The 19,257-nt window shown below is 41.3% G+C and overlaps 1 long non-coding RNA gene across 2 annotated transcripts; it reads left to right on the forward strand.

Annotated features, from left to right (window-relative positions):
* The first annotated feature begins 8,160 nt into the window (after positions 1-8,160).
* LOC105379535 (uncharacterized) lies at positions 8,161-18,445 on the forward strand. Of its 2 annotated transcripts, none has more exons than XR_951345.2 (4): positions 8,161-8,280; positions 8,418-8,587; positions 9,357-9,445; positions 17,707-18,445. It is a non-coding gene; the product is annotated as an uncharacterized LOC105379535 (long non-coding RNA). The 2 variants fall into 2 exon arrangements; XR_951346.2 differs by lacking the exon at positions 17,707-18,445 and adding an exon at positions 16,067-16,200.
* The last annotated feature ends 812 nt before the right edge of the window (positions 18,446-19,257 follow it).

Here is a 19,257-nt window from a genome sequence, read left to right on the forward strand (position 1 = left end):
CTGAGAGCTCTTGTTTTATCTTGTCCTTGCTGAGCTGGGTGTTATAACATTGAAACCTTCTGCAGTCTCTCTCTCTCTCTCTCCCCCCACCCCCTCCTCCCTTCCTCCCTTTATTCCTTTTACTTCTCTTAGGATAGGCTCATCTGTACTTTTTTGATAGAGGTAACCATTTGCCACACCATTTTCTGAAGGGCCTGCTCTCTTCCCATTCATTTGTGATGGCACATTTATCCTACCATAAGCTTTGGTAACATGTCAGGATCTTTCTGTCCTGTCCTCTCAAAGAGGTTAATTTTTTTTTTATAATGACTTATAATTGACTGAAGTTATAATAGTTTTCTCATGTCAAATATAGAAAGAGGCCAGGTGCGGTGCCTCACGCCTGTAATCCCAGCACTTTGAAAGGCCAAAGCAGCTGGAATGCTTGAGTCCAGGAGTTTGAGACCAGCATGGACAACATGGGGAAACCCAATCTCTACCAAAAAAAAAAAAAACATTACCCAGGTGCAGTGGTGCATGCATGTAGTCCCAGTTACTCAGGAGGCTGAGATGGGAGGATGGCTTGAGCCTGAGAGGTGAAGATGGCAGTGAGCTGAGATCGCACCACTGCATTCAGTCTGAGCAACAGAACAAGACTCTATCTCCAAAAAAAATAAATTGTACACTTTGACTCATTTATGTCTGATGGGTATTTTGATTACAAATTATTTAGTCAGTACTTTAAAGCCTGCTTAATTTTTTTTCTTAATTTTATTGACTCATTCATGTCTTAGTCTTTTTTATTACAAGTTACTTATTGTTTAGTCACTACCTTACAGCCGTTTTATTTTTCTTAATTTTATTGACTCATTTATGTCTTAGCCCTTTTTATGACAAATTATTTATTGTTTAGTCACTACTTTAGAGCCTGTTTCATTTTTTCTTCATTTTATTAAAGGATGATATTGATGATGAAATGTCCTACAATGATCATTTAGAGGTTTATTTTGAACAACTGGCAATTCCAGGAATGATGGAATAAAACATATGAAGTAGAAGGACTGGAACCTCCAGAAAAAATACTTTAAGTTACCTGCAAGTGATCCTAGTCAGGTATGTTACAGTCTTAATGGCTTTTCAGAAATTTGACAGAAAATTACTATTAATCTCACTGGGTGTTTACATGAATTTTAAGCCTTTGCTTTTCTTTTAACTTTGTTTTTTTACAGGTATGAATTGATAAGAAATGCCTGCACCTTACCTCCTTCCTATCTTTCCCTTGCCTACAGAAAATTAAAAGCAAAGACAATGGACATCTACATATTCTTCATTCAGATCAACCAGTGGCTAGCATTTGCCACCTTTGCATTTTCTTTCTCTTTCCATAAGTACTTTCTTCTCTGAATCATTTGAAAGTAAGTTGCAGAGAGCAAGATGTTTTACCCCAACACTTCAGCGTTTATCTCTTGTGAATAATGACATATTTCTACATAATCACAGTTCTACCATCTAACTGTAATACAGTAATTTGATGTACAGCCCATATTCAGATTTACCTAATTGTCTCCAAAATGTTCTTTATTTTTGTTTTAAATCCACAGATTAATCAAAGATTAACCTCGCCTTTGGTTATCATGTCTCTCTGTTCTTTTACTTTGGAGTACTTCTTTCAATACATGAAATATTTTGAAAAATCTAGGCTCTTTGTTTTGTAGAATGACCCATAATCTAGATATATCTGATTGCTTTTTTCTTCTCCTGACTAGAATAGTTTGATCATTTTGGCAAGAATAGATTAAACAGTGTTCTCATGAGTGGATCCAGATTAAACAGGGAATAATGCCTAATTCAGATTAGGCAGTGTTGTGTACTTAACGCCTCACACCAGATGTTTGAGTCTGTTTGTCCCACGATTGTTGATGCTATGTTTAATAATTTTGGTTGAGGTAGTATCAACTGGACATCTCCTTGTGAAGTAGCTTTTCCCTTTTGTTGTTAGTCATCTGTGGGATGAGATATCAAAGCACTGTGAACATCTTATTCCCTGGCAACCTTCACCAGCTGGTTTCAGCGTCATTGCTGAAGCCTCCTGGAAACATTGATTAAACCCGTGGTTCCAATGGTGATTTCTCATTCCTTTTACACTGATTACCTGCCTCCTTGAGTAAGGTAGATGTTGTCTGCTCCCTATGTTTTCCCCTTCAAAATGTTTAATTTTAATTTAAATGATTAATACAGCTGAGTTACCCTTTCAACAGGCAAATGAAAACAGTAGCCTAAAGTGTCAGTTTCAACCAGAAAATAACAGCTCTGATTTCTCATGGCTCACACTCTTCTGAAAAGATTCAGGAAGAGGCTCAGGAAGGCCATGTTGTTTGTCTACCTGGGACTAGTAAGTATAGAAATAGAATTCCTTTGTTTTTAAATTCTACCTTTGACTTTACTTTTAAAATATAATTTATTTAGTGTGATTTAGCTCATGCCTGTAATCCCAGCATTTTGGGAGGCCAAAGATGGAGAATTGCTTGAGCCAGGAGTTTGAGACCAGCCTAGGCATCATAGGGAGACTCTACACAAGCACACAAGCACGCACACACACACACACACACACACACACACACACACTAACTGGGAATGGTGGCATGCGACTGTGGTCCCAGCTACCTGGGAGGCTGAGGTTGGAGGATCATTTGGTCCCAGGAGGTGGAGGCTGCAGTGAAATGTGATTGTGCCACTGCACTCCAGCCTGGGTGACAGAGCAAGACCCTGTCTCACAGAAGAAAAAGAAGAAGAGATCATCCATTTGTCTTCTTGATTTTTGTCAAAATGTGATATGTGATAGTTGATAAGCTTTGTATGAATCTGTGGCCATTTAATTTTGGGCTAAGGACTTGTTCTGTTATAGCACAGTAATCATTTTACTAATTAGTGACTATTTGTCATTAAAAACAATATATTTAGTTTTAATACAGTTGAGTACTCACAAATTTCTGGGGAAACTTGGTCAGGACATTTTAACTGAGAAGGCACCTTCTCACTGATAGCCATGCTGCTCGGTGGTGCAGCTCATATGCAGACAACTCCCTTCATGTAATTTAGTAGGAAAATGACAGAAATAGTTGTAGAACTATAAACTAAAGCAGAATTCTGGTTATTGAATCACAGCACCTACTGAAAGTTCTCAAGTTCTGATTGAGTTCTAAAAGATTTTGAAGATTGGAATTCTTCATAGGTAAGTAAAAATTTTGGATGACCCATTTCTAGTCCATCTTCTAAAGAAATATTTAATCTGGGCCATGTGTGGTGGCTCATGACTGTAATCCCAGCACTTTGGGAGGCTGAGGTGGGTGGATCACGAGGTCAAGAGATTGAGACCATTCTTGCCAACAAGGTGAAACCCCGTCTCTACTAAAAACACAAAAATGAGCTGGGCATGGTGCCGTGTGCCTGTAGTCCCAGCTACACAGGAGGCTGAGTTGGGAGGATCACTTGAGCTTAGGAGTTGGAGGTTGCCGAAAGCTATGATCATGCCACTGCACTCCAGGATGGACGACAGTGAGACCCTGTCTCTAAAACACAAACAAAACTAACAAAAAAAGTGTTTAATCCATAAGATGACCACATGTACAGAAGCCTCCTGGCAATCTTAGCCTGAAGCCATGAAGGAAGGCATAGTGTGAAGGCAAGTGCAGGCTGGCCTATGGCAGGTGAGGATCAGGACAGGATATGGAATGAACATCTGCATCAAAGCTTTATTGCTTGAAACATTCCTATCTGTAGGTCAGCCTTAAAATACACCATTTCATAAAATATTATCTTTCCCATATTTTGAGGCCATGCAATTTTTGATACCTGAGGGAACTGTATTGTGTTCTTGATTTGATGAGATCAGTAGCTTTCTTATCTTATTGAATGACATCTACAGAACTCAGAAACAGGCTACATATTAAGCAAATTGATATCTTTCTTATTATAATATTACTGTGTATAAGAAATAGAGATGGCCAGGTGTGGTGGCTCACACCTGTAATCTCAGCACTTTGGGAGGCTAAGGCAGGTGGATCACAAGGTCAGTAGTTCAAGACCAGCCTGGCCAATATGGTGAAACCCTGTCTCTATTAAAAATACTAAAATTAGCTGGACCTGGTGGCATGCACCTGTAATCCCAGCTACTTGGGAGCTGAGACAGGAGAATTGCTTAAACCCAGGAGGCAGAGGCTGCAGTCACCCAAGATCTCATCACTGGACTCTAGCCTGGGTGACAGAACAAGACTCTGTCTCAAAAAAAAAAAAAAAGAAAGAAAGAAAGGAAAGAAAAAAGAGAGGGTCCCCCCCCCCACCCCACCAACTGATGTCAACTGCAGGGAGTGTCAGGTGCATGGTGCTATCAGGTGTTGAAAGTGCTCCTTACCTAAAAAGGAAAAGTCCCAAAAATAAAATTATCAAGGGAATTTTAGGTATCAGCTTTATATTTGTGTAAGTTATTTGTAGAGTTGGATTTTAAGAGTTTTGCCTGCTTCAGAATTCTCCCATTTTGTTCTTTTTTTCTTTTACATGTGTCTTATTACCTATTATTACATAAATATTATTCACCTATTAGAATCAGTCATTGTCCTCTGATCCATTTCTTCAGTGGTCAGGACCATCTGTGGTTTCCCCACCATCCAGCATTTTCTCCTAATACTGTTATAGTTTTATAAACTATGATGTGAGTTTTGCATGTGGGTTACTTTTTTCTCACTTAGACCAAGTTTTCCAGTATTTACTAAAAGAATTCTTACTTTTTTGCTTTATTCTGTACATCTCTGTTTTGTACATATTAAATATATTTTTAATTTTAAATTGTAAAATATATGTAACATAAACTTTACCATCTAATCATTTTAAGTGTACAGTTCAGTAATGTTAAGTACATTTATCAGGGTTGTTCGATGTTTTGGCTTCTTTGGACCACATTGGAAGAATTGTCCTGGACCACACATAAAATGCGCTAACACTAATGATAGCCCATGTGCTTAAAAAAAAAAGAAAGAAAGAAAGAAAGAAAAAAGCTCTATGCATAAATCTCATAATGATTTTTTATTTGTTTGTTTTGACATGAACTTCGGTGGACACCTTTCAACCCTAACAGTCAGATCTAAGATTCTTAGTTGAAAGGATTTCCCTACTCAGTACTTTGAATTAATCAACCCTACTGCCTTCTGGCCTCCAAGGTTTCTGGTAAGAAATCTACTGATAATCTGACTGAGAATCCTTTGTATGTGAGGAGTACTTCTCCCTTGTTTCATTCAAGATTCTTTGTCTTTTGATACCTTGATTATAAACTATCTTGAGTGAGATACTTTGAATTTATCCTATTTTGAGTTTGTTGAGCTTTGTGGTTTTTTTGACAGCAAGTTTTTGTAGAGACAGGGTCTCATGGCCAGGCACAGTGGCTCATGCCTATAATCCCAGCACTTTGGGAGGCCAGCTGAGACCAGCAGATCACCTGAGGTTCGGAGGTTGAGACCAGCCTGACCAACATGGAGAAACCCAGTCTCTGCTAAAAATACAAAATTAGCTCGGCATGGTGGCACGTGCCTGTGATCCCAGCTACGCGGGAGGCTGAGGCAAGAGAATCACCTGAACCCAGGAGGCAGAGGGTGCAGTGAGCTGAGATTTCACCATTGCAACAAGAGTGAAACTCCGTCTCAAAACAAGAGAAAAAAAAGACAGGGTCTCACTCAGTCACCCAGGCTGAAAGAGCTCAAGCAATCCTTTCACATGAGCCTCCTGAGTAGCTGAGATTGTATGTGCACACCACCATACCAGCTTTTAACTTTAATTATGATTTTTTCACAGAAACAGGGTCTCCCTATGTTTCCCAGGCTGATCTTGAATTCCTGGCCTGAAACAACCCTTCCACCTTGGCCTCCCAAAGCATTGAGTTTAGAGGTGGGAGCCACCATGCCAAGCCTTGTATATTTATAATGTTTTAATGTTTTAAATCAAATTTGGGAAGTTTCTTAGATTTTCATTATTTCTTCAAGTATTCTTTTAGTCCCTCTGTCTGTTCTGTGATTCTTACAAACTGTTGTTGGTCCACTTGATGGTGTCCCACAGGTCCCTTAGGGTCAGTTGATATTCCTGCAACCATTTTATTTCTGTTTCTGACACAGGATTATTTCAATTGCTTTGTCTTCAGATTTGCTAATTCTTTCCTCTGCTTGGTCAAATCTGTTTTTAATCCCTTCTAGTAAATTTTTCTTTTCTTTTTTTTTTTTTTTTTTGAGCTGGAGTCTTGCTCTGTCACCCAGGCTGGAGTGCAGTGGTGTGATCTCAGCTCACTGCAACTTCTGCCCCCCAGGTTCAAGCAATTCTCCTGCCTCAGCCTCCCAAGTAGCTGGGACTACAGTGCGTCACGTTTAGCTAATTGTTGTATTTTTAGTAGAGACGGGGTTTCACCATGTTGCCCAAGCTGGTCTCGATCTCCTGACCTCATGACCTGCCCACCTCAGCCTCCCAAAGTGCTGGGATTACAGGCATGAGCCACCGCACCTGGTCTCAGTGTAGTGAATTTTTAAGAAAATAAAAATAAATACGAGAGATGGATCTTCTGGATTGCTCATGACTTTTGAGAGTATGACAGAAGTTGAAGAGTAACTGACTTATTTATTAAACAGATGAACAAGACACTGAATCATGGAAAAATGATCTATTCAGAATTTTTATTTTTGTATAAGTTACAATGTTTTATTTGCATTCACATTACTGGATCAAGGGAAGACATTCTTAAGTGCAGACTAATCAAAAGCTGACTGTATTTCCTGAGTTGAAATTTTAGGTGTGTTTTGCGACAGTTTGTAAGAAAGACAAGTGGAAGTTTCCTCTGCTTTAGCAAAGCTGCTTGAACATGAACCTTCTGGAAACTTTCATGCAAGTCATAGGAGCAAGTCGTACAGATTTTCAAGGATTTGTTTTATTCAGTAAAATAAAGTGCTGCTATACTGTAAGTTTTAGGAGGCAGGAGTTTTTATCTTTTGCTTATTAATATGTCACTGATGGTTAAACAGTATGTAATGCAAAGTAGGTGTTCACTAATAATTATTGAAGAAATAAAGTGTCATTTCTGTGTTGTTTTAATTTGGATTTATCAGTAAGGGCAACTTATTTGACTATTAGTTCTAATGATTAAAATGTAATGAGCATTAAGGAAATAAAAGGTTCTATGTGGATTTTGAAGGTCATCTCTATCAATTTGAGGTTGAATGGGAAGAACAGTTTTCTTGACATCCTTCAGCTGTGTTACGAGTACAATTTTGTTTTTTACTCAGGCAAAAGAAAATATGTGTGTGTGTGTTAAATACAGTCAGTCCCCTTTATCTGTGGGTCCTGCATCCTCACTTTCTACCAACCTCAGATCAAAAATATTCCAGAAAAAAAAGGATGTTTGCATCTGTAGTGAACACGTACAAGCTTTTTTTCTTGTCATTATTCTTTATGCAATAAAGTGTAACAACCATTTAAGTAGCATTTCCATTGTATTAGGTATTGTGAGTAATCTAGAGATAATTTGAAGGATATTGGAGGGTGTGTCCAGGATGCAGGCAAGTACTATGGGAATTTATGTCAGGGACACCTACAGATTTTTGTTTCCAGCCATGGTTCCTGTATAGTTTAACATTCCCACATGCTGAGGGTGTGATGGGTATGAGTTGGGTTGATCCCTCATGTTTGAGGAAGTGTGTCCATCATGATTGCACACCCTTGTTGTAAACTTTGGATATGTCTATTTCGATATTTAAAACATTTTCAGATTAAGTCTGAAAATGCCAAGACATTAATAATATTTTAAAAGAGAATTGAGAAGTATTATTATAATAATAGAACTCATTATTAGAACTTTCTAATAGTAGAAAGGAAGTCTATTTATTTTATAAAATTGTCAGTTCACCTTAAGATCTAATAGTCCTTTCCAATTAGCAACAACTTAATTCAGACTACCTCAAAAGAATAATTTAACATTTATTTTTGTAGGAAAAAAACAATTTTAAAATAGCCTGGGAAAATTTAGGTAAGTTTTCCTTAATCCTGACTCTTAATTTGTGGCTAGAAGTGGTAATGATATGAACATAAGTTGTGCTATTTATTAACATATTGCTTTTCATAAATCCGTCCCTTTTTTGTAATTAGGTAAAAAGAGAAAAGAAAGACATTCTTGATTTTGGTGACTAGAGTTGTAGATGCTGGAAAGCTTTGCCACTAAAACTGACAAACCAGATGCTCGTCACTGGCCAATCACGCTGATTCTTAATGCCATAAGTATGAACATACAGTAAAAAACTGTTGATGGAATACATCGGTCTTATGAAATGAAATGTTTTGGTTAAGGATTTTTTAAACAAATTTCACATTACACTACTGGCTTTACTAAATCTGAGTCTTGTATTTCTGAACAGGGCACCATGGCCCAGCACTGTCACCTTTTCCAAGGAACCTGCTGGAGCTCCTGTGGAAGCTGCTCCTTGGGCCGATGAAATCCCTTAGCTGGTAGGACCTTCTTTAGTCACCACAGGATGCCTGCCATTCATGAACAGGAAGGAGAGGATGGGCTTTGAATAAAAAACAGGTAAGTTTCCAAACTGCTTTTCTCTCATTAAGATTTCAATCTTGGCCAGGTGTGGTGGCTCACGCCTGTAATCTCAGTATTTTGGGAGGCCACGGCGGGCAGATCATGAGGTCAGGATATACAGACCATCCTGGCCAACTGGAGAAACTCCATCTCTTCTAAAAAATACAAAATTAGCTGGGCGTGGTGGTGGGTGCTTATAATCCCAGCTACTTGGGAGGCTGAGGCAGAAGAATCACTTGAACCCAGGAGGCGGAGGTTGTGGTGAGCCAAGATCCCTTGCACTCCATCCTGGGCAACAAGAGCGAAACTCCTTTACAAAAAAAAAAAAAAAAAAAAAAAAAAAAAAAAACGGTCCTCTGAGTTGCACATGGCTTGTCCACTGCCTGGTTACATACAAACTGTGTGCTCAGTCTGCTCTTAGGACCTTACAGAAGAAGTGTCTGGCCCACATCAGTGTGAATGCTTTTGCTTGGAATGCTTGCCCACAGCTCCCCCGGGCTGGCTTCTTCTGGGAAGCTTTCCTCCATTCTGCAGATTACTCATAAATAGCAGTCCTTTAACTCCATGGTTTCCCACACTCCTTGTGCAGACGGTAATGTGACGTCCCTCTCCTTATCTATATTCTTCTCTGGAGCACAAGCTCTAAGGATGGGAATAACATCATCTCAGCACCTAGCTCAGTCGTTTAGACAAAGGAAACATGAAAGAAATATTTGCCAAAATAATTGAATACAGGATCTTCAACTCAGATTATTTTCTTTGTTAGGATCCGGAAAATATTTGTGAGGCCACTTGGACTTCAGTGTGAAATAAATATTTTCTGGCTTTGGGAGGTGTCCCTCTTGGTGGAACACAGTAAGTGTCAAAGATGGACACATAGTCCATTATTTGTAGTGTATGGGAGCAGACCACAAATTAATGTTTGGAGAACAATTTTGTCGTAACAGACACTGTTGAGGCTCAGCTGTACAGAACTGGAAAAGTCTTTCAGCTTGGCACATGTCCTGATTCAGCCTTTGTTTAACATATATTCCAATCTGGATTCTATCTTCACTGGCTAGAAAGACCATCTGATATGTGCACCACAACACAGGAGCTGCTGGAGAGGGGGTAGTATTATCACCTCAAACTCACAGCCACTCCATATTTTTCAAAAGCCAGCTTAGAGAGAGGTGTACTGATAGCTGCACAGAGAAAATGCGGTCCATCCATTCTTCTCAGTGATGTACATTTCTCAATCGGCAACCACGTGGTTTTAGCAAAAACCACAGAAGTGGTTTTGATGTACCAGCCTTGAGTGTCACATCTCCCAACCATACCAAATGGGTCACCTAACTGGGGGTGGGGGGTGGCCGTCATAAACGAGATTTAGTATTTACTGTAAAATTGTGTTTTTTTTTTTTCTTTTGAGATGGAGTCTCTGTTGCCTGGGCTGGAGTGCAATGGTGTGATCACTGCTCACTGTAACCTCCACCTCCTGGGCTCAAGCAGTTCTCCTGCCTCAGCCTCTCAAATAGCTGCAATTACAGGTGCATGCCACCACTCCCAGATAATTTTTATATTTTTAGTAGAGACAGGGTTTCACCATGTTGGCCAGGCTGGTCTCAAACTCCTGACCTCAGGTGATCTGCCTGCCTTGGCCTCCCAAAATTCCGGGATTAAAGGCACTAGCCACCCTGCCTGGCTGAGAATATTTTCATTTGCTGATTTGTCCCTTGTGTATTCTCTTTGTTCAGATGTCTATTCAGATATTTTTCTCACTTTTAAATTGTTTTTTAATTGTTAAGAATTTTCTATTTAGTTTAGATCTAAGCCCTTTATCAGATATGTGTTTTGCAAATATTTTCTCCTAGTCTGTGGCTTATATTCTGTCTGTCTCTCTCTCTCTCTTTTTTTTTTTTTTTGCATGCCCCACATCCCGGGTTCATGCCATTCTCCTGCCTCAGCCTCCAGAGTAGCTGGGACCACAGGCGCCCGCCACCGTGCCCGGCTAATTTTTTGTATTTTCAGTAGAGACGGGGTTTCGCTCTGCTAGACAGGATGGTCTAGATATCCTGACCTCATGATCCGCCCACCTCAGCCTCCCAAAGTGCTGGGGTTACAGGCGTGAGCCACTGCGCCTGGCTGTATTCTGTCTCTTAACACCCATTTTATTTTTACTTTTGGAACTAAAGAAGAGGAACAGTAGTCAGCTTTCTGTTATTCTTGTCACAGTAATGGCAGAACCAATTCTGCTAATGCTACGTTGAGCAAAGAAAGTCACATGGTCAAGTCCAACATTAATGAAATGGGGTAGTACGTGCAGGTGGGGGAGGGGAAAAAGAAATGCTTCTTAAGAGGGATATAATCTGCCATACCATCCAGGAACCTACAATGGCTTTCTATTACCTTATTCTCTGTTTTGTTTCATGTTGGAATCTTTCTGAAAGATCCTTCAACCTTTCTGTAAGAATCTAATCTGATAACACCATCAAAAACACACTTCTTTTGGCATAATTTAAATTCTAACACATCATTCACATTTATCTATGTTACATATATAAGAACTTACCCACCATATTCCTCCTTGAGGAATTACAGCATGTAATTCTGTAAACCATGTAATTCTATAACCATTTTTACAATCGTCTAACAATGTTATAATGGATTGGTTGCTTACTATCAATTTTTTAAAAGTCATGGCTTCTCCAGGCATTTCTTGCTCATCAAAATTATTTCATGAGATGGGTCTGTCCTTGTATATTTGAAAATGATGTTTGCTTCCTTCTACTTAAAAAACAACTTGAACATACCTGTTTGGATCACATGGTCTTGTCCTGATTACTTGGTAGAGGTTTCTTCAGCATTGTTATTATTGTTGGGGTGGTAATTATTAATGTATTTCATATTCTGTTTTAAAAATTAAAATTTTAAAGACCAATGTCTTCTTTTCAATTCCAGTACATTTTTCAGAAGTAACTAATGCTATTGGCTTGCGCATTATAATTCCAGACCATTTTATATGTATTTAGTTATATATACAGTGTGCATATACATGTGTCAAATTATTCCATTTCTTCTAGCATTAAACATTGCTATGGAAAATTCTGAGAAAAATATATATTTGAACCCAACTTCTTCTTTTCTCAGATGTCCCCTCCTTAGGAATCTTTTTTTTGATCCTTGAAGCTTGGTAACAACTTTAAATAGGTATATCCCGGCCCAGAGCAGTGGCTCATGCCTGTAATTTCAGCACTTTGGGAGGCCGAGGCAGGTGGATCACCTGAGGTCAGGAGTTTGCCTGGCCAACATGGTGAAACCCCGTCTTTATTAAAAATACAAAAAGTTAGCCAGGTGTGATGGCTGGCACCTATAATCCCACCTACGTGGGAGGCTGAGACAGGAGAATCGTTTGAACCTGGGAGGCAGAGGTTGCAGTGAACTGAGATCATGCCACCGCACTCTGGCCTGGGCAACAAGAGTGAAACTTTGTCTCAAATAAATAAACGTGTAATTTCATCTCAAATAAATAAATGTGTATAGCTCATTGTTCATTATTGTATGGCATTTTCCTGGACATTTTGTACAATACATATGTGTACTTAACAATGGAAGAAAAATATTCCAAATATAGTAGAAGAAAAAAAAATTTTGGCCAGAGGTTTCCAACACATTTTATTTTGCAGATCACAGATTTAAAGCTTTTGAAGACCATCATCTCTATCAATTCCTATAAAATGTCCAATCAATTTCAGTTTCATAGCAGGCTCTTCTGTACTGCATGCCATGCTTATAGCTGGAGGTCTGGTCACACACACATGAAGGTTGCCCGCTGGTTCCTGGAGATGGTCATGTCCAAGAAGCCTCTTCCAGGGAGCTTCATCTTCCCGGCGGGGGGGGTTCCTTTGGCAAGAAGTGGATACGTTTACACATGAGGCTTTGGTGCCTGTGAGCAGGAAGTGTCAGAAACTTTCAGGATATGCTGCTTCTCTTAGGAAGTCAGGGACCCAAGGATCTAGTGCCCTTGCGCTTAATGAGAAGGATTCCTCCTCATTGTTTAGTGGGTTAAAATACAAGGAAGCCGGCAGGGTGCGGTGGCTAGCACCAGTAATCCCAACATTTTGGGACGCCGAGGTGGATGGATCACCTGAGGTCAGGAGTTTGAGACCAGCCTGGCCAATATGGTAAAACCCTGTCTCTAACAAAAAATACAAAAATTAGGGGTGTGGTGGCACACGCCTGTAGTCCCAGCTACTCAGGAGGCTGAGGGGGAGAATCGCTGGAACCCAGAAGGCAGAAGTTGCAGTGAGCCGAGATCATGCCACTGCACTCCAGCCTGGGTGACAGAATGAAACTCCATCTCATAATAAAAAGTATATATATATATATATATATATATATATATATATATATATGGAAGCCTCTGTTTTTAAGTAACACAGATAACACCTTTTTAGATCACCTATTTATTCTAGAACTACAGTTTTTGTTGTTGTTGTTTTGTTTTGAAACAGAGTCTCACTCTGTCATCCATACTGGAGTTCAGTGGCAAGATCTTGGCTCACTGCAACTTCCGCCTCCCAGGCTCAAGTGATTCTCCTTCCTAAGCCTTCCAAGTAGCTGGGATTACAGGTGCACACCACTACTGCCCGGCTAATTTTTGTATTTTTAGTAGAGACAGGGGTTTCACCATGTTGGCCAGGCTGGCCTTGAACTCCTGGCCTCACACAATCCAACTACCTCAGCCTCCCAAAGTGCTGGGATTATGGGCATGAGTCACTGTGCCCAACCTAGAACTGTAAAATTTAATTCAAGAAAATATAGGTCCCATGAAAGATTTAAGAGTTTCATAAAGCTAAAAAGCTAAAATCTAGTCTTTTCCGGTAAATTGCACTTTAGTCAAAACCCTCCCAATGCTTCTAAAATAATACTAAAAGGGGCATCTAGTAATACAGGAGCAATTTTTTTTTTTTTTTTTTTGAGGTGGAGTCTCACTCTGTCGCCCAGGCTGGAGTGCAGTGGCTCGATCTCAGCTCACTGCAAACTCTGCCACCCAGGTTCAAGTGATTCTTGTGCCTCAGACTCCCAAGTAGTTGGGATTACAGGTGCCCACCACCATGCCCAGCTAATATTTGTATTTTTAGTAGAGACGAGGTTTCACCATGTTGGCCAGGCTGGTCTTGAACTCCTGACCTCAGGTGATCCACCCACCTCAGCCTCCCAAAGTGCTGGGATTACAGGCATGAGCCACTGCACCCAGCCATACAGGAGCAAGTTCAAAAATTAAATATTTATTTGAATAACAAGCTTACATTTGAGCTGCAACATTGGCAATTCAGACTTTGAACATGGATCACAAAAAGCATGTATAAAATACTACTGGCCCAGAGAACAAAACACTGCTAAGAATTAGGCTAAATAGCTGCTGCTTTTAAGAAAATAAAAGGCCTGAAATCAATATACAAAATTTTACAAAATGTATTTGCCAGGCACAGTGGCTCACGCCTGTAATTCCACACTTTGGGGGGCCAAGATAGGAGGATCACTTGAGGTCAGGAGGTCAAGACCAGCCTGGCCAACATGGTGAAAGTCCATCTCTACTAAAAATAAAAAATTAGCTGGGTGTGGTGATGTGCGCCTGTAGTCCCAGCTACCCAGCAGGCTGAGGCAGAGGAATTGGCTCAAACCCAGGAGGCAGAGGTTGCAGTGAGCCCAGATCATGCTATTGCACTCTGGCCTGGGCGACAGGTGAGATTCTGTCTCAGGAAAAAAAAAAAAAAAAAAAAAAGATATTAAACAGTAGCATATACAGAACAATCTTTGTTATTGACTAAACTTAAAAATTATTTGCATAGTTAATTATATATTGCAAATGAGCATAATACATGAACTTCCTTTTGGAGGGCAATTCCTTGTTACACTAAGAAACATCTAATTTTGGCCGGGCGCAGTGGCTCATGCCTGTAATTCCAGCACTTTGGGAGGCCAAGATGGGCAGGTCACCTGAGGTCAGGAGTTGGAGACCAGCCTGCCAAATATGGCAAAAACCCATCCCTACTAAAAATACAAAAAAATTAGCTGGGTGTGGTGGTGGGCGCCTGTAGTCCCAGCTCCTTAGGGAGACTGAGGCAGGAGAATCGCTTGAACCGGGGAGGCAGAGGTTGCATTGAGCTGAGATTGTGCCACTGCACTCTGACCTGGGCAACAAGAGTAAAACTCAGTCTTAAAAAACAAACAAACAAACAAACAAAAATACCTAATTACATCGCATTGCAAAAAAATCTCATTTTTGCTGTCAATAAACAGTTAATAGTATTACTGTAAATATCAGGAAGGCTACAAAAAAAGATTTCTTTTTGTCTTCAAAGTGTTTTTTATGCAGTGAAGCACTTACTGTGTTGAACAGAATGCAGTACTGGAAAGTGTCCTGGGTGTGCAATGCTCTTGAGTGACAAATTAGGCTTTTCTATTTTTTTTTTTTTTTTTTTTTCTTTTTTAGACAGAGTCTCACTGTTGCCAGGCTGGAGTGCAGTGGTGCAATCTCAGCTCACTGCAACCTCTGCCTCCCAGGTTCAAGTGATTCTCCTGCCCCAGCCTCCCGAGATGCTGGGACTGCAGGCGCCACCATGCCCAGCTAATTTTTTTGTATTTTTAGTAGGTTTCACCGTGTTGGTCAGGATGGTCTCGATCTCTTGACCTCGTGATCCACCCACTTCAACCTTCCAAAGTGCTGGGATTATAGGCGTGAGCCACCGCGCCCGGTCCAAGACTAGGCTTTTCAAATCAAAGAGAATCTTGCAACCCTCTTACAACTGGGTTACCATCGTGTGCCACTTACCAATGCTGTCTTTCCAGAAAACCATTCAAGATACTAAAAAAAGATCAGACTTATACGATAAACATACATAAAATGAAAAGACACCAACTGCTATTGGTAATGTCTGTCATATGTGAAAACACTTTTTATTTTATTTTATTATTTATTTTGAAACAGAGTTTCACTCTTGTTGCCCAGGCTGGAGTGCAATGGCACGATCTCGGCTCACTGCAACCACCGCCTCCTGGGTTCAAGTGATTCTTCTCCTACCTCAGCCTCCCAAGTAGCTGGGATTACAGGCATGCGCCAGCGTGCCCAGCTAATTTTCTGTATTTTTAGTAGAGGCGGAGTTTCTCCATGTTGGTCAGACTGGTCTCGAACTCCCAACCTCTGGTGATCTGCCTGCCTCGGCCTCCCATAGTGCTGGGATTACAGGTGTGAGCCACCGTGCCTGCCCGTGAAAGCACTCTTAAAAACAGAGTACCTCTGCTGCCTGGTCACATTCTGTACCTGTTCCCAAACCCTGAAGCCAGTGATGTCAGTGGCTGCATGGGCACTGAACAGGTACATGATTCCTGCAGCTTTCCTGTTGACCTGGACCATGTTCATCAATGCTTTTCAGTACGTTAATTCTACATCTTCTTGGATGACCACTAGTTTAATTTTGTTTCATTTTTCAGGAATATCCAGCCACTGGTGCACAGCCATTGCCACTTGTGCCCCCACGGGATCTTGTCAACTCCAGTATGTCCCCTCAGCACTGTGTTATCTGGCATAATAAATGTAGTTGGGCTGTAGTTGTAGTGAGTCCTCCCAAAACAACCCAGGAGTTTAATACTGTTTGGCCACTGGTTACAAACATTCCTGCTTCTTCTGCTGTGACTTTAAAAGCCTATCTAATTGTCTGGGCATGGTGGCTCAGGCCTATAATCCCAGCACTTTGGGAGGCCGAGGTGGGTGGATGACCTGAGGTCAGGAGTTTGAGACCAGCCTGGCCAACATGGTGAAACCCCATCTCTACTAAAGATAAAAAAAAAATTAGCTGGGCATGGTGGCGCATGGCTGTAATCCCAGCTACTCGGGAGGCTGAGGTAGGAGAATTGCTTGGGCGACAGAGTAAGACTCCTTCAAAAAAAAAAAAAAATCCTATCTATTCAGGGACATCACCTTTCCCTGCCAGTCATTTTGTTACCAATGAAACTATTCAAATCAATTTTTAGTTCAGAAAAAGTTTATTTTATTGTATCTTTTAACTTTTTTATTGTTCTGCATTTTTTACTTCAAAAACACCTACTATATGTATTTTTTTCTCTTTTGTTTCCTTTTTTTTTCCAAGAAATGTTTTTGTTACTTTCCTTTTTGATTTCTTCACTGACCATTACCATTATTTATATACCATGTACTTGGAGAGTTTCCAACATTTCTCGTTATTGACTTTTAATTTTATGCCATTTTGGTCTGAGAAGATACTTGCTATGATTTTCATTTTTTAAATGCTCTTTTGAGATTTGTTTGTTTTGTGTCCTAAAATGTGGTCTATCCTGGAGAATATTTTGTGAGCTGATTTTGTGAGCAAGTTCTGCAGTTGGTGGGTGAAATATTCTGTAATTACCTATCAGGTTTCTTTGATTTATACTGGAGTGTAAGTCTGATCTTTGTTGCTTTTCTGCCTGGAAGGTGTGTCTGTTGCTGAAAGTGGGTGTTGAAGTCCCCAGCTATTATTGTCTGACTCTGTTGCTCGAATAACTCTTACTTTAATAACTGGGGCTCCTGTGTCAGGTGTGTTTACATTGACAACTGTTCTACCTTCTTACTGAATTGATCCCTTTATCATTTTATAATGACCTTTATTTTCTATTTTTGTGCTTTTTTGACTTAAAGCCTATTTTGTGTGACAAGCATAGCTACACATACCCACTTTTGGTAACACCTTTCATTTCTTATCATCTTCATTGAATCTCACTTCTTCACATTTACCAAAATGTCTACTTTTGAGCCATGGCACTTCTTTGAATCTTCAGATCCACCATATCCTGATCAAGCCTTCCTTTTTATCTGTACTCTGAGGAATCAAAAACAGGCATTTTTACAAGAAAGTCTAGGAGGGAAACATAAATCTACGTGTCAAAAGAATGAACATAGAAAATAATGTGTCCTGGTTAACAAAAGTTCTCATTGTAAAGTGTTATGCACAAGATTATGGAATTTTATGTGCCATAAATGAAATTGTCTTGATTTGTCTAAAACTACTTTTAAAAATTACATGTTACTCTAATAAATTTTGCTGCTGCTCACTCTTTGGGTCTGCTCCACCTTTAAGAACTGTAACACTCACCATGAGCATCCGTGGTTTCATTCTTGAAGTCGGCCAGACCAAGAACCCACCAATTCTGGACACAGTAGGAGAAATGTCCAGGTAGGAGCTAGGTGCTGCGGGGCTGGATGCAGGTAGGAACAGGGTGTGGTAGGAGCAGGGTGACAGCTGGGCCAGGTCCAGGAAGGGGCAGAGTGCGGGTAGGAGCAGGGTGCTGGTGGCGCAGGGCGCAGGTAGAAGCGGGGTGCAGGTTGAGCCAGGATGCTGACGGGGCAGGGCAGGGTCCTGGCGGGGGGAAGCGTGGGTAGGCGCAGCGTGCGGGTAGGATCGGGGTGCTGGAGGGGCATGGGAGGGTAGGACGGGGTGCGGTAAGGGCAGGGTGATTGCAGGGCGGGGCGCGGGTAGGATGCGGTGCTGGCAGGGCCAGGTGTGGGTAGGAGCAGGGTGCTGGCGGGGTGGGGTGCGGTTAGGACTGGGCAGTGGGTAGGTGAAGGGTGATGGCAGGGCAGGGCAGGGCATTGGTAGGAGCGGGGTGCCAGCAGGAGTAGGGTACAGGACGCGGGTAAGATCGGAACCTGGTGCAGGAAAGGCCACCAGTAGCCTGGGTCCCAGAACCTCTGCAGGCGCAGCCGCTCCTTTCACCTGGTGTGCCAGCTTGCAGTTTGTGCATTTGTCCCTTTTGGCTGCACAGAGAAGGCAGGGAAACTGCGTGGGAATGCAAGGTCGGGAACGGCCGGGGGTGCGACCAAGGGGACTTGGAGAACCGCCCCACCTCCCCAGGTTCCCCTGGCAGAGCGCACCACCCCCCGCCCCCGCGATTTTTCACAGGCCCAGGCCCTGTGGAGCTGGGCCTCTGTGGAAGGGGTGGGGGCAGGGCAGAGGCAGGAGGACAGAAAGAGCTGGGCAGGGAAGGGGGCCAAGAGAGCCTTTCTCAACATCCAGGTTAGTGGATAGGCTGGGGGTCCTGCAGGGCTAGCCAGGAAGAAATGTAACCATGTGTGGAAAAACAGGAATTGGGAAGGGGTGAGGAAGAGGAGTTGGTCACCAGGCAGCAGGTGTTGCCTTAGGCAATCATAGGGGCTGAGGGGCTGGCTTCTCATTGTCAGGCCCTGGGCTGGTAAGTTTCAAGGAAATCAAATGAAACAAATGTAACTTTCTTTAAGACTAGCAGAATCAATTTCTCTGTTTATTCAAGGAAGCTGTATACATCCGGTCTATGGGAGAATTGGGCACCTTTCAGTCTCATGCATTTTGTCACAGGGAAAAGAACTGGAGAACAGTTTGTTGATTGAGGAGCTGAAGTATTAAGTACAGAGCCACATACATACTTAAAGACCCTGTGAAAAAAATTAATGAACAAAAAATAATTGGAAGAAGGTGAGCAATTATCTGAAACTTTCAAAGGATAAAATGACTACTGGGCATTTGGCTAAGTAGGTAAAATTAAGTGGAGACAGGAGGAACTGTACAGAGCATAAAACTTACATAATCAAAAAGTTTGGGGCCAGGCGCAGTGGCTCAAATCTGTAATCCCAGTCCTTTGAATATTTATCTGAC

The sequence above is a fragment of the Homo sapiens genome (assembly GCF_000001405.40).
Source record: "Homo sapiens chromosome 16 unlocalized genomic scaffold, GRCh38.p14 Primary Assembly HSCHR16_RANDOM_CTG1".
Lineage (NCBI taxonomy): Eukaryota > Metazoa > Chordata > Mammalia > Primates > Hominidae > Homo > Homo sapiens.